Source organism: Homo sapiens, chromosome 10 (assembly GCF_000001405.40).
Source record: "Homo sapiens chromosome 10, GRCh38.p14 Primary Assembly".
Taxonomy (NCBI): domain Eukaryota; kingdom Metazoa; phylum Chordata; class Mammalia; order Primates; family Hominidae; genus Homo; species Homo sapiens.
The window spans coordinates 29,467,056-29,481,174 of NC_000010.11; the positions used below are offsets into that span (position 1 = coordinate 29,467,056).

The 14,119-nt window shown below is 47.3% G+C and overlaps 1 protein-coding gene and 1 long non-coding RNA gene across 12 annotated transcripts in view, besides 4 other annotated features; one reads left to right on the forward strand and one right to left on the reverse strand.

Moving 5' to 3' along the window:
* SVIL-AS1 (SVIL antisense RNA 1) overlaps window positions 1-14,119 on the forward strand; it is a 78,323-nt gene that overhangs the window by 57,522 nt on the left and 6,682 nt on the right. For 2 of the 8 annotated variants that reach the window (NR_110925.1, NR_110926.1), the window contains exon 3: window positions 185-2,075. The exons of 4 other annotated variants lie outside the window; for them this stretch is intronic. This is a non-coding gene — a long non-coding RNA (SVIL antisense RNA 1). Of the gene's footprint in view, window positions 1-184; window positions 2,076-14,119 lie in introns of those variants that run through there. 2 more of the 8 variants (NR_110929.1, NR_110928.1) reach the window with 1 other exon arrangement.
* SVIL (supervillin) overlaps window positions 1-14,119 on the reverse strand; it is a 279,599-nt gene that overhangs the window by 9,718 nt on the left and 255,762 nt on the right. For all 4 annotated transcript variants that reach the window (NM_001323599.2, NM_021738.3, NM_001323600.1 and 1 more), the window contains 5 exons: window positions 13,482-13,758; window positions 6,783-6,934; window positions 4,083-4,188; window positions 3,221-3,428; window positions 687-820 (listed from right to left, as the gene is read on the reverse strand). In NM_001323599.2, the coding sequence (NP_001310528.1) occupies window positions 687-820; window positions 3,221-3,428; window positions 4,083-4,188; window positions 6,783-6,934; window positions 13,482-13,758 (877 nt within the window). The remainder of the gene's footprint in view (window positions 1-686; window positions 821-3,220; window positions 3,429-4,082; window positions 4,189-6,782; window positions 6,935-13,481; window positions 13,759-14,119) is intronic.
* Window positions 5,807-6,369: an enhancer, noted in NCBI's record as "H3K27ac-H3K4me1 hESC enhancer chr10:29761791-29762353 (GRCh37/hg19 assembly coordinates)". NCBI's record gives its function as "activates a minimal SCP1, AML or CMV promoter by ChIP-STARR-seq in naive H9 embryonic stem cells {active_cell/tissue: H9 hESC(naive)}" and the evidence as "EXISTENCE:reporter gene assay evidence [ECO:0000049][PMID:30033119]".
* Window positions 6,370-6,933: an enhancer, noted in NCBI's record as "H3K27ac-H3K4me1 hESC enhancer chr10:29762354-29762917 (GRCh37/hg19 assembly coordinates)". NCBI's record gives its function as "activates a minimal SCP1, AML or CMV promoter by ChIP-STARR-seq in naive H9 embryonic stem cells {active_cell/tissue: H9 hESC(naive)}" and the evidence as "EXISTENCE:reporter gene assay evidence [ECO:0000049][PMID:30033119]".
* Window positions 10,461-10,960: an enhancer, noted in NCBI's record as "H3K4me1 hESC enhancer chr10:29766445-29766944 (GRCh37/hg19 assembly coordinates)". NCBI's record gives its function as "activates a minimal SCP1, AML or CMV promoter by ChIP-STARR-seq in primed H9 embryonic stem cells {active_cell/tissue: H9 hESC(primed)}" and the evidence as "EXISTENCE:reporter gene assay evidence [ECO:0000049][PMID:30033119]".
* Window positions 11,828-12,359: an enhancer, noted in NCBI's record as "H3K27ac-H3K4me1 hESC enhancer chr10:29767812-29768343 (GRCh37/hg19 assembly coordinates)". NCBI's record gives its function as "activates a minimal SCP1, AML or CMV promoter by ChIP-STARR-seq in naive H9 embryonic stem cells {active_cell/tissue: H9 hESC(naive)}" and the evidence as "EXISTENCE:reporter gene assay evidence [ECO:0000049][PMID:30033119]".

A 14,119-nucleotide genomic window follows, 5' to 3' on the forward strand; every position in this document is an offset into this window, starting at 1 on the left:
ACTATATGTAAGGTGCTGGCTGGTGTCTGGCTTACTGGAACTGCTTAACAAAAGTTCGCTTTCCTTCTAATGTTCATCTGTATTTTTAGAACAGCTGGGAAAGTACACATATACACACCTAACCTCACTCTGGTGAATGGGAGTGCCTGTTCTATACAGACACGATCTTTGTATTTCCAAATAGGTTAATGACTGAAGGGCTCTGGAAAGGGGATAAGAGGCCGGCTTCCTTCCCCAGATCGCACTCCAACACCCAGAGGACTGCTATTTCTCAGGTGGCAGCTATGAGGAAAGAAAGAAAATGGTGCCCTGAGTCCCTAAGACCCTGGAAGGTGGCTTGGTCCCCGGGAGGCCTTGGGAGCTGATTTGCCAGTGAGAATTTGAAGTCCTGGTGTCCAAGTTAAACTCACCCCTGGGAAGAAAAAAACTGTTCAATCAGCTGGACATAATACTCATCACACTAGATTTAAGACACACTGAAGAATTAAGATAAAACATGAATGGGGCACAGTGGCTCAAGCCTGCACTTTGAGAGGCTGAGGCAGGCTGATCACTTGAGCCCAGGAGGTTGAAGCTGCAGTGAGCTGTGATCATACCACTATACTCCAGCCTGGATAACAGAGCAAGACTCTTGTTTCCAAAAACAAACAAAAAAACCAGATCGCAGACTGTGGATGCCACATTACCTTGAAGCATGCAATCGTAGGCTTTCCTGTCTCTCCTTCCTAAGGCATCCCAGAATCCGAGTGGCTCGGAGCCTTCATCACACTCGTGTATTGTGACTTTGCTGCTACTATGCAGTCCTGCTTCCAGGGGACATCTGCAAGGGAGAAACTCCAAGAGTTCTTTATAAGTCTGGAGAGTGCTGGTGACCCAAAATTATTATTACTATTATGATAACAGCTTTATAATAGCTTTATTGAGATATAATTCACATGTCATAAAATTCACTCTTTTTATGTGTACAGATTTCAGTTTATTCACAGAGTTGTGCAACTGTCATCACTAATTTCAGAACATTTTCATCTCCCGGAAGAAGAAGCCCTGTACCCGTTAGCAGTCACTCCGCATTTCCCCCATCCTTAGTCCTCAGAATCCACTAATCTACTCCTGTATTTATGGACTTGCCTGTTTTGGACATTTCATACAGATGGAATTATATAATATATGTTCCTTTGTGACTGAGTTTTTAAACTTAGTGTAATGTTTTTAAGGTGCATCCATGTTGTAGCATGTATCAATACTGAATTCTTTTTTATGGCAGAATAATATTCCACTAATTTTTTTCATCCATTAATATGTTGGTAGATATTTGGGTTATTTCCATCTTTTGGCCACTATGACTAATATGGCTATGAACCTTCATGTACAAGTGTTTTCATTTCTCTTGGGTAGATATCTAGTAGAGTTGCTAGTCATATGGTAACTGTATTGTTAAATCTTTTGAGAAATTGCTAGACTGTTTTCCAAGTAATGTGTAAGGGTTCCAATTTTCACATCCTTGCCAATACTTGTTATTGTCTGCTTTTTTTAAATTTAAAATTTGTGGGTATATACTAATAGTAGGTGTATATATATATACATATATATATACATGTACATATATATATGGGGTACAGCCATAAATTATTCAAAACTAAATCTGGAGATCAGTTCACCGTCTCTTCTACTTTCTAAGGAAAAGCAATTCTTACTCATGAATGGAAAAATGCTCTGCAGTCTCTAAGTGTGTGTGGTGGAGGAGGGGAAGTTGACTTGCTCCTAGGGAGGGATGTTTAATCACATCTAATGTGTCATGAAAATTACACACATTTTTATACAGAACAATACATATTGACTATTTCTTGTCTTTCTCTCCTGCTAGAACATGAACTTCATGAGGACAGAGACTTGGGCTTATTCACCACCAAGTCCCCAGTTCCTAACTCCAGTCCTTTGGAGTTAGAAGCAGGTTGCCCAAAGTTCATGATGCAGAAAAACCATTTTTTCCGAGATTTATAGGATAAGTCCTGTAATTCCAGATTGCTTGGCGCCAATCAGGTACTCAATAAATGTTTGTTGAGTGAATATGTGAATGAGCTCTTCATTGTTTTTCTTTTCCTCAGTGGTCCAAGTAAACCCTCTGATGGGCCTCAAATGCCTTGGGCCACCTCAGGGCATGTGATTTCTCACCCCTCCCCGTGCCCTAGCCCACAGGTGGTGTTTTGAGATGAAACATCTTGTTTCACATCTGCCTCCCTGTAGAGAGGTCACCTGCCCCGTTCTCCTCTCTGCCCTCTCTGGGTAGTGTGTTTTCAGAGTGGACACAGGGGCCCTGGCCACTGCTCTGTTCCAGAACCCAGAGAATGGGGTTCACCAAATCAAACTCTGGGGACATGTGACCCTAGGAAGCTCTTCACTTTTCCTCACTGAGGTCCTCACAGGTCTCAGTTGCCTCCTGAATGCCTGGGCGACACTGGGCTTCTCTGGCAGCTTGCAATGCTTATTTTGCCTGGGCTGCTAGGAAGTGCAGAGCCACAGAGGCAGACCACCTTACCGGGGGGGCCGGCCACCACAGCGTCCTCCCTGGGCTGTGGCCTTCACTGCCCTTCCGGTTCCCCTCTTCCCCAAGGTCCCCACTCAGTGCTATCTCACAGTGTGCTGAGTCTTTGCAAGTGGCCAACGGCAGGTGCCTGCCTGGGAGGGGAACAAAACCCAACCCGGAAGTGCTGTACCCGGGAAGTGCCCGGAGAGTCCGATCCCTCTCCATCGGGGGCTGCTCTCCAGAATGGGGGATATCTTATCGTCTGACACAGATGGCGGTTTCCCACACTCTTCTTTAGCTTTTTAACACTCTGCTGTTCTGGCAAACGAAAACTCCACAAATTTGAAATGTGCTCCCTTTAAATATCAAAGGCCCCCAGGCTTCTCATCCAAAAGCTGAACGGCAACTATGAAGAAAGAACCCAGAGTGCTTCCAAGAGTCACTCCCTGGCTCCTCACCAGCCTCTCACCCAGCCAGATAAATCCTCAGAGCGGCCCCCAAGTCGGAGGTCTGGACTGAGATGTGTGTCCTCTCTGCTCGGAATGTCAGAGGCCCCTGACCACGTTCCCAGCCATCCTTTGCTGCAGTCACTTTCAGCACCCTGGGATCTGCTGGGAGTCTTGGTACCCCTGAGCCTGCCCCGTCCCTCTGGGAAGCCCGGTGTGTGGGGGGACTCGCCGCAGACACAACACTCACTGTTCCTTGATCTTGTTCGCAGCGGTCCTTCCGACCTCCTTCGTGTGGGCCTGGGCTTTGCATCCGTGCCACAGGTAGATGAGGGCCTTGTTGACGTTAAGCACCACCATGGAAGTTCTGGACCTCAGGCTGCTACAGTGACAGGCCACTTCCAGCAAATTCCCTTCCACGGGCACCTCTCCACGCACGCAGTACAGCCGCCACTCACCTGCAGGGGGCACCGGCGGCGCGGAGGAGTTAGCACGTGAGCGAGTGGCAGCAAACGCGGCCCTTCCTAGTGTCCGCTGTGTCGTCCAAGGCAGCCACCTCCGTCCAGGGCCAGGGACTTAGGGGACTGGAGGGGCTGAGGCACTGCACAGGGAGCCCTGTGGAGCACTGAGGCATCAGGCCTTCCTGCCAGCCTAAAAAGTGGGTTCTTACATAGTTAGAAGCAGGTGATCTGAAGTCCACAATGTAGAAAAGCCATTTTCCCAAGATTTATACAACAAGTTCTATAACAGGCATATTTTAAAAGGCTCTAGAGCTAAGATTTTTTTGGGGGGTGGGGTGCTGGTCAACACAAAATTTCATAATTTATCATAGAAGAGCCACTGATTTTTCTTTCTTCCTAAAAACAGCAGACAGAGGAGGGGAGACCACCTTCCAGCCTCCTGCGTGCAAAGGTGAATCCCCGAGTAAATTCTCCAGGGAGAGGCGGGTCATGAGCACCCATAGAGCTGAGTTATCAGGCAAACATCAGGAGGCTTTCAGAGGTCGAGCCACAGCTAGATGAAGACAGACTCACTTTCAGCCCCCAGCTTATAAAAATTCTTTCCAAGAGAGGGAAAGGCAAAGTCGAATTCCAGCAGTAAAAGTGACTTACTTTGCACATTTTCTTCTTCCTCTTCCCGCCTCCCCGAGTGCACCACCATCCCCCCCTGGAAACACTGCAGGAAACAGGGGGGCTCCTTTCCCTGGAGAACCTGGACCTTCCGATTTAAACAGAGGTAAATAGGTAAGGGGCGCGGGGCTTTCAAAGTCCTAAAAACAATACATGCCTCTTGCAGAAAATCTGAAAAATACCAAGACGTACAAACAAAAGCCATTGCTAACACTACCACCTAAAGAGAAGCTCTGCGAACGCTGCCGTGTGCAGCCTCCTCTCAGGGTGTTACTCAGGGAGGGTCTTCTTTTCCTAAACAAAATAGGAGCCTTGCTTTATATTGATGTACAGCCTCATTTTCTTTACTTAATGTTGTTCTGTCAAGGAATATTCTTTTAAAACATAACTCCTGATATTTTAATGGTATTCTGTGGTTATTGATGTCACAAGACTGATATAAATACATTCTTAACAAGATAGCTCTCAGCAATGAGAATGACTCATCACTGACTTGGTAATAATTCTAGGGAAAATATATGGTTTGTGGCCACCCCAGCAGTCCACTCAGCCTCTTCCTGGCCTGTTAGAGAAGGCTCTTCCTTCAGGTGTTATCTGCACCACGAATAATGTTAGGTTTGAGTCACCTCCCTCTAGGACACCTTTCCTTAAAGAGGAAATGTTTCCTGGAGCTGGTAGTCAGGGAGCACTGAGAGAAAGCATTTCTCACTGTGAGTTATCAATCTCTGTGCCCATTTTGCATAACCAATTGCCATTTTGTGGCAGTATTTCATATCTAAAATGATTTTCCAGAGCTGGACCATGGCTCATGCCTGTAGTGGTGCATGCCTGAAGTCCCAGCTACCCAGGAGGCTGAGGAAGGAGGACTGATTGAGCCTGGGAGGTCAAGGCTGCAGTGAGTGGTGATGGTGCCACTGCACTCCAGCCTGGGTGACAGAGTGAGACCCCTGTCTCAAAAAAATGATACAAATAAAAATAAAATGATTTTCCATCCACTGGATTGGTAACAGGTAAAATGCTCAAATGAGAGAGATTAAGACTCAAAACTCTGAGGATGATTTTGAAGGCATGATAAAAGCATATTCATTCATGGCCTTTACAAAAAAATAAAGGGGTAGTTGAAATGGCTATTAGGAATAAATTAAAATGCAACTCTTGCCAGTACCATTTCTAAAATATAGTCCATAGTAGAAAATATTGTTTTAGGAAATGTGATTGGTTCTTGGAACTGTGGAAGGCTGGGTGAGTGTGGATCTATTTCTGGCAAGAATGTCTCTGCTGTCTTCCCTCCTGCTATCGTTAATCATTCATCCAGGAGAATAAAGAGATTTGCACATGGCATTGTCCTGTTTTCAAAGAATCCCAGAGTTAATTCTTAATTGCTGCTACTCAGCAAGTTAACTCTTAATTGCTGGTACTCTACAGAGCAGAGGAGACTCAGGCAGAGCTCATCTGAATGTTAAAGAGACAGGTTTGCAAGCCTTGGATCTGGGCAGCAGTCCCTGCCAAGCATGATGCAGGCCCTGGGGTTATAAGGCCATGGGGTTGTGAGGCCAGTAGCTTTAGGTGGCCTTGGATCTGGGCAGCAGTCCCTCCCAGGCACGATGCAGGCCCTGGGATGATAAGGCCATGGGGTTGTAAGGCCAGGGTCTCAGGGTCTCTGTCATGCTCCTGGGGGATCATGTAGCTTTAGGTGGTGGGAAGTGCTGTGAAAATAAAGGGATAAAGTGCAGGGACTGAGAAGGATGGGAGAATGAGAAGGCTCTGGATAGAATGGGTGCGGGGGGCAGTGGTGCGGGTAACATTTCAACAGAAACCTGCCTCATAAGAGGCTGTACACAGGGGTACATACGTAGAGGCAGTATGGAGTAGGCAGGGGAAGTTTCCAGACAGTGGAATGGGTCACAGGGCAGGAGGTGAGTGGAAGGAGGTGGCCGTGGAACAGGGAGAGGCTGGAGTGGCCTGGGTGGAGGGGAGGAGCAGGGGGAGCTTGGAGAGGTGCCCAGGGCCCATCACGAAGGTGCTGGAGCCCTGGGAAGCCGCTTAGACTGCAGTGTGTGTGGCAGACAGTAAGGGAGTGACCCAATCTGACCTGTTCCAGAAAACCACTCAGGCTGCCACGAATACAGGTGATGGGCGTTCCCAATCCTTACATTCACCTGATACTTCCTTCATGTAGATTCGTGTACATGGAACAAGTGATCAAAGTTTTAAGGTTCTCGTGACAAAATTTCAGGATGGCTGTTCAAGTTACACTTCTCACCCAAAACATAGCATCCTCATCCTACCGAGGCCTTGCCAGCTGGCCCTGGATCCATTCTTTAAAAAATCACTACCACTGTGAGAAGTGGATGATGGCATCTCTTTGTTTTACTTACAGTGCCTTGATTGGTTAGGTGGAAACCTTTCAAAGCCACCCATTGGCCATCTGCACTTGTCATGTGGATTTCCTATTTGCAGATACAACATTTTCTCCAGGATCATCTTACAAAAAGTGGGAGGAGGAAAGAAATGGGAGGCACAGCCTGAGACCTGCAGAAGCCAGACCAGGACTGAAGTGCTTTGGGTGACGTGGTCTTCCATTATCAGAATCATGTTGGGAGGGACCAGGCCGAGTGCCATCGGCTCCCAGGAGAGGATGCTCCTCTCAGTCCCCGGGGTGCAGAGCTCCCCAGGACTCACCTGGGCCCCCCTTTCCTCGTCCAGCTCCACCGTCATCAGCGCCGACGTGCCCTTCTCACTCACGGTGGAGTGCCGGCCTTGCCAGAAGAAGTAGACGCACTTCTCTTTGCCGGCTGCCCTCACCGAGTGCTCTCCCTTCTGGCGACTTCCCACTGCAAACACAGAATGGCAGAGGGACAGGTCAGCAGCTGAGACACCCGAGGAGAAGCAAATGTCTGGCTCACTTTCCCCGGGCCTGCAAGGACCAGTGGCAAAGAGCCTCGGACCTAGGGCAGGGGAGAAACCGTTGGCACCTGGAGGGAAGGCTGGTCACGCCCAGGAGAAGAGAAAAACCACCTTCCTTCCAGCTCCTGACCCAGAACTTCCCACAGGGAGAAAAGGGATCTGAGGGGCCCTCTTGGTGCCCTGAGAAAAAGATCTGTCATCTGGAGGGGGTGGCAGATCACTCCAAGTGTGCAACAGAGTAATTTCTTCAAAATATTTGGTGAGGCCAGGTGAATGGCTCATGCCTGTAATCCCAACACTCTGGGAGGACTGTTTGAGGTCAGGATTTCAAGACCAGCCTGGGCAACATAGCAAGACCCCACCTCTAAAATAATTTAAAGAAATTAGCCTGGTGTGGTGTTGCACACCTGTAGTCCCAGCTACTTGGGAGACTGAGGCAGGAGGATCACTTGAGCCCAGGAGTTTGAGACCGCAGTTAGCCATGATTGTGTCACTGCACTCCAGCCTGGGTGACAGAGTGAGACTCTCTTACAAATAAATAAATAAATAAATAAATAAATAAATAAATAAATAAATAAATAAAGTATTTGGTGACCGCCAGAGCAGGACTAAGGGCTCACACAGACACAAACTCATTTTCCATATTACACCACTCTTTGGCAAAAGAATAGCTGGTAGAGAAAAAATGTTAAAAACAATAGCAGGGCCAGCTTTAAGCACAAAGGAAAAAATGCAGGCTGTTAAAACTATTCTAGTAAAAAATACAACTTTGAAGTTTTCAAGTTCTGTCAGAAAGGAGGAGATAGGTTGCTGACATATCACTTGAGCATAAACTAATCTGGATTTCATGTCTGTCACCAGGGCTGCTGCCAGGATTAAGTGCTGATGGTCCCCATGGCTGGAACTGCACAGGCACTCGGTAAACATGAGCAGCACAGGAGGCAGATGAGACTGCTTGGTGTGGAGAGCAGTCACAGGGAGGTTACAGGGTCTCCCTCTGTCACCCAGGCTGGAGTGCAATGGTGCAATCATGGCTTACTGCAGCCTTAGCCTCCTGGGCTCAAATGATCCTCCTGCCTCAGCCTCCCAAATAGCTGGGACTACAGGCATGCGTCACCATGTCTGGCTAATTTTTATTTTTAAAATTTTGTAGAGATAGGGTCTCACTATGTTACCCAGCCTAGTCTCTAACTCCTGGCCTCAAGTGATCCTCCCACCTCAGCCTCCAAAAGTGCTGGAATTATAGGCCAAATGGGCATTTTAGATGTTACTACAGACATCCAAATCTCTACCTGTAAGAATATGTCTCACTCTAGATTCCCTTCATTCGTTCATGCATTCAACAAATATTCAATGAGCGGGGACTTCAGGATTCTGGGCTACAATGGTGAACAAGACAATGATGAACTCGATGCTGGGTGCTTTTGTTCTAATAAACAAAGAGACGAGCAAGACAATTTCAGATAGTGATAAGTGCTATGAGGACAAGAGACAAGAAGGTGACGCCAGGCAGGGTCAGGGCTCGTGGGACACCTGCTGAGGGAGGGCCTTTCTGAGGAGGTGGGGAGTGTAGACCTGAATGATGCTAATCTGGAAGCAGAAGCTTCTAGGCTGAGTGAGGCCAGTAGACCAAGCACTTGACCCAAAGGCCCAGGTGTCCCAGGGAGTGAGGGTCAACACGGGAGGCTGCAGCAGTTGGTGGGAACACCCACACAGGTTTAAAAGGAATGAGAATAACTGGAGTCTCTGGTTTTATATCACTGCAGTTTTCCCAGCTCCAATCCCATTTCCAACATTGCAACTGTATTGAGGTTTGAAGGGAAGAATAAAACTCATTTAAGTTCTTAAAAGGTAGGGGGTCATATTTATTTGATTTTTAGCCCTTTGTTTGGTAAAGTATCTGTAACATAGGTTTCGTAAATGATTCTAATAATTTCTTACAGTATTTTGACTAAGCACAGTCTTTTGTACCATCCACTGTGGATCTCAACTGGTTAAGTTTGGGTGTTTTTGAGAGGGCAAAATAAAATAGGAACCATCAATGACTAGATTATAAATCCCACAATTAATTTGGAAGCCACTTAATTGAAATTTCTGCTAACTTAGCAACAAAACTTTGCCTTTGAATAGCAATCCCATTCTTCAAATAGTGAACATTTGTTGCACTAAATAGATTATTGAGGAAAGATATGTTTCAAATAGATCATAACAGTTTATAAAGATCTTGAAATCTGTTAGCACTCAAATACATTGTGTAAATACATATTCACACTTAAATAACCAACATCACATCCTAACATTGCAAACAGACTTGAGTGTATATACACAAAATAGAATTGTGTCTCTTTTTTAAATTACTTTTATTTTAGAGACAGGGTCTTGCTCTGTTGCCCAGGTTGGAGTGCAGTGGTATGACCATAGCTCACTGCACCTGGGCTCAAGTGATCCTCCTGCCTTGGCCTCCCAAAGTGCTGGGATTACAGGTGCATGCCACCATGCTGGGCTCATTTTTTATTTTTTTGTATAAACAAGGTCTCTCACTATGTTGCCCAGGTTAGTCTGAAACATGTGGCCTTAAGTGATTTTCCCACCTCAGCTTCCCAAAACTCTGGGGTTACAAGTGTGAGTCTAGAATTTTATTTCTTTAAAGATATTTTATGAAGCAAACATTTCACTAGTTTTCTTTACAGTTTTTCTGCACATACCCAAATTTAGTCCTACATGAAACTTAATTTTTCGTATGTGTATTCATTTTTAATTTTGGCAATATAAAGATTAAATTTTTAGTAGTAAGAACTTCTGGGCTATTCTTTTTTTTGAGACAGGGTCTCACCCTGTTGCCCGGGCTGGAGTGCAGTGACATGATCTTGGCTCAGTGCCACCTCCGCCTCCCGGGTTCAAGCGATTCTCCTGCCTCAGCCTCCCGAGTAGCTGGGATTATAGGTGCCCGCCACTATGCCCAGCTAACTTTTTGTATTTTAGTAGAGACAGGGGGTTTCACCATGTTGGCCAGGATAGTCTCGAACTCCTGACCTCGTGATTTGCCTGCCTTGGCCTCCTGAAGTGCTGGGATTACAGGCATGAGCCACCGTGCCCAGCCAGCTATTCTCTTTACAACCTTGATTAGTTACCTAATTTAAAGTGTGGACATGTTACGCCACCAAGGCACTTTCAAGAATGTTTGGTACTAGTAGTTCTATTTAGGAATAACAGAAAACACAAATATAAAGACTGTTCATGGTCAAGCATTCTTGCACCAGAGCCACCTATTTATAGGAACTAGACATCTATCAGGCCCTGGAGGAGCCTGGCTCAGATCCCTGGGCACCTTGAGCAGCTGTCGCGACCCTGCTGGGGAGTGAGCAACCCTACCCTGCAGGCACTGGGCCAGGACATTGACCCTAGCAGGCCGGCCAGCATTGGCCAAGCGGAGGCTGTACCACCTGTGCAGCTGCTGCTTTTGCTGACCCTCTCCCAGAAGTGCACCCTGAGCTCTGACTCAGTCCTGTTTGCAGGTGTGGCCCTTGTGCGCACAAGTGATAGGGGAGCCGGACTAGTGTCACCAAGGGGCCAGAGCTTCCGCGTTGGTTACGGAGTGACTGCAAGTGCCATCGGGCTGTGCTTCCCCCCTGCTGGAGGGATGGTCTGGAATCTGAATGCTCCCTGCTTTAACTTAATTCTCTAAAGCTGGGCTTTTTCTAAGTTGTAAGTCTGCTGGAAAAGATGTTGTTGGAGCTGGCTGTGAGATGTCCATTGTGTTCATTGGGAAGAAATATAGAAAGGAATCACCCGGCTCAAATCATATTTCCTAAGGGCCTCCAAGTCAATAGTCCATGAAAGTCTGAACTCTTCGCTTTATTTTTAATTAATTCACTTTAACAGTTTTACTCATTCATTCACTCACAATTACTTTTTTTTCTCATAACTAACAGCTAAAGTAAGAAAATGGCTAAATTAAACTATGTCTGGTTTTATAAAACACGATTTCCCTTTTTGCATTTTAGGAACGGGCACTACAAGTGCCTTTAGTTTGTTCTTTAAAGTTCCCAGTTCCATTACTCCAAAGGTTAAGAGATCTGCCTGCCCCGAAACACACTCAATTCCCTATTATTATTGTCTTTGGCAACCAGCATCAGAGATTAACACTGTACATGCCACCTCTGCACAAAAGCAAAAGCGTAAGTCCACGACAGTGACTCTTTGTTATTAATTGTTATTGTTATTGTTTTGGGGAGATCCACATTATCTTGTCTTCAAGTTAAAAACAGTAATTACGCTGTTCCTGCTGACAATGTCAGTGATGAGTATTTCCTGCACCTACAATGTGAACACAGGCCAGGCACCTGCTAAACGTCATATATACCTGATTATAAAGTCCTGTGAGCTGAGTACTATAATCCCTATTTTCCAGGTGAGAAAACCAAGGCTCAGACAGAGTAACTTTACCCAGCCCACACAGCTGGTAAGTGAGGGCCTGAGATTCTGAATCCCAGGCTGTAGGGTCCCAGCACCTGTGGCCTTCCCTCAAGGGACACAGCTCCTTATGAAAAAGGAAAGGAGCAGTTCCAATTGCTTGCTCATAAGAAATTAAGTAGATGAGGAATGCTGCTCCCTTTGGGAGGCTGAAGTGGGAGGATGGTTTGAGCCCAGGAGTTTGAGACCAGCCTGGGCAACATAGTGAGACCTCATCTCTTAAAAAAAAAAAGAAAAAATTAGCTTGATAATGGTGGCATATGCCTGTAGTCCCAGCTACTTGGGAGGCTGAGGCACGAGGATGGCTTGAGCCTGGGAGGTCAAGGCTGCAGTGAGCCGAGATTCTGCCATTGCACTCCAGCTTGGAAGACAGAGTGAAACCCTGTCTCAAAAAAAAAAAAAAAAAAAAAAAAAAGAACAAAAAGAGAGAAAGAAATGTCCCTCCCATTGGGGGTCCTTGTCTGACATCCCACTACTCCCTGGAAGGAGAGGCTGGAGCTGCCTGGGCCCTGGAAGATCCCCTTCCTGCTGTTTAAGAAGCCCCTGAAGTTTGGTGTGTTCAGCGGCCCAACCTCAAGTCGCCTTGCTGCTGGTTCAATGCTGACCTGCTCCAAGGTCTGGTGACTGGGATCTTCAGCCCCTCCTTGTAGCCAGACTCACAGCTGCCCACATCCTGTGCTGGAGCCCCACTCTGACTCTCTGCCCGCAGAGCGGTTTAATAGCACAGTTGGGTTTGAAAAGAGGCAGGTCTGGACTTGAGTGTCCAGCTCCACTCCCTGCTAGCTGTGTGGCTTCAGGCAGGTTCCTTGATCTTACTGTCTTGGTCCTTATCTGAAAAATTAGCACCACAACAGAAATGTCTCAGGGAGCCCAGTAGGCCCTCAGCTACAGGCAGAGTAAAGCCCCCAGCATCGTGCCCTGAGGGGGCAGGGGGACCTCTGGGCCACAGCCCGGCTCTGCACAGCACACAGCCCCACTGGCCGTGTGCTCAGCGAGGCCCACCTGCTGGCTGTTCCTGCACCTGCTTTATGTCACTGAGACAGGGTCTGAAATATTTACTTGGTCCCTACAAAGTGTCTTCCGTAGAGTAGGTGCTCAGGAAATGTTGTCAGCTGATGAATAGATGCATCTTGTATAAATCAGGAAAGAAATCCTGGTTCTGAGCCTGCAGTTTTCTGATCAGCAAACAGCTGCCTGTGCTTCCTGTGGCCCCGGGGGCAGGTGCACCTGCACAGCAAGGGGGCTGTAAAGAGGCAAAAATACTCTCTTCTGAGTTGAAATCACAAACCTGTGACCTGCATGCTCTCCTAAATGGGAAGGGGTGAGCAGCGCTGTGGAAAAGGCTCCTCCTTGGCAATGAAAGGGATGATTTCTCCAGAGTTCACCGGACTCCCCCTTTCCCCAGCACCAAGCATCCAGGTGAGTGTTTTGCAATGGGGTCCGTCACCATCAGGAACCGAGGAGAGTTTAGACTCTGCATTTACTACACCAGACCCACAAAGCACCACCCGTGCTCTCAGTCTCGGGAGAAACAGCCTCTTTCACTTTTCAAATCAATCTTCTGTGCGTGTATTTACTATAATGTTACAGCACCATTTGGTTCCAGCTTTAAATCACGAAGATATGCTGTACTTAACGACTTTAATTGAAGCAGCACACAGCCACATGGGAAATATCATTTAGAGGCCAATCATCTCTTTCCCAGAAAAGCTCTGGGGACAGGGGCAGGGGAGGGAGAGAGGGAGCTGAGAAGCCTTGATGTGCAAGTTCAATTTCTACAGGTGAACACCAGCGGCCTCGGCAATGCTAGGTTGTTAGGAATTCGGCCTTACTTCTTTTCATCTCTGTAGTTTACTAGGTGGCTCTCAAAGGCGCATGACTGCAGTGCCCCACTGCACGGACGCAGCAGAGGGCATGACAGGGTTCATTGGAGAAGCTGGCTCCCGCAGGGCTGCCGGGCCAGCCTCTTTCAGCTGGAAAAAACCACAAGCGCTCACTAACCTGCCGTGCTCACCATGAACTTCCACTTGACCACATAGGCATCCCCCTCATGGAACTGCCCGATGCTTTGTTTGGGGAGCCTGCTATAGTCGAATTCCAGGATGTGCCAGACATCCACGGAAACGCTGGTGATCTCAAACTGCCTCCTGTCGTGTCCTTCCACCAGGCCATAGCCACGGCCGACGTTCACTCCGTCCAGGATGGTGCCTGCTGTCGTCTGGGGCATGGACACCATCCGTGTCACATCGTATGCCTTGACATCAGTCCTGGGGTCTTCCTACAGGGGAACACAAAGACATCAGTTCAGTTGCCTGTTTCTGCAGCTATTCCTTGTCATGCTCAATGCTGCTTCAGCTGTTCATGGGACAGCATAAAAATACAGCTTCCACACTCTGTCTCAGGATGTTTAACTGCAGTCAGGGAAAGGCTGCATTTCCAGAAAGACTCTGGGAGGTCTGAACACCCATCGCCACAACAGCACATGGGTGCCTGAGAACAGGCACAAATCAGACTCTTCACTTCCCAGAGTCAGATTAGAATTGGAGGCCTGTCTGCTGTTCTACTAGTGAATCCTGGGAAGGCTTCCTAGCTTTAAGGGTGTGTGTGTGTGTGTGTGTGTGTGTGTGTGTGTTTGTTTG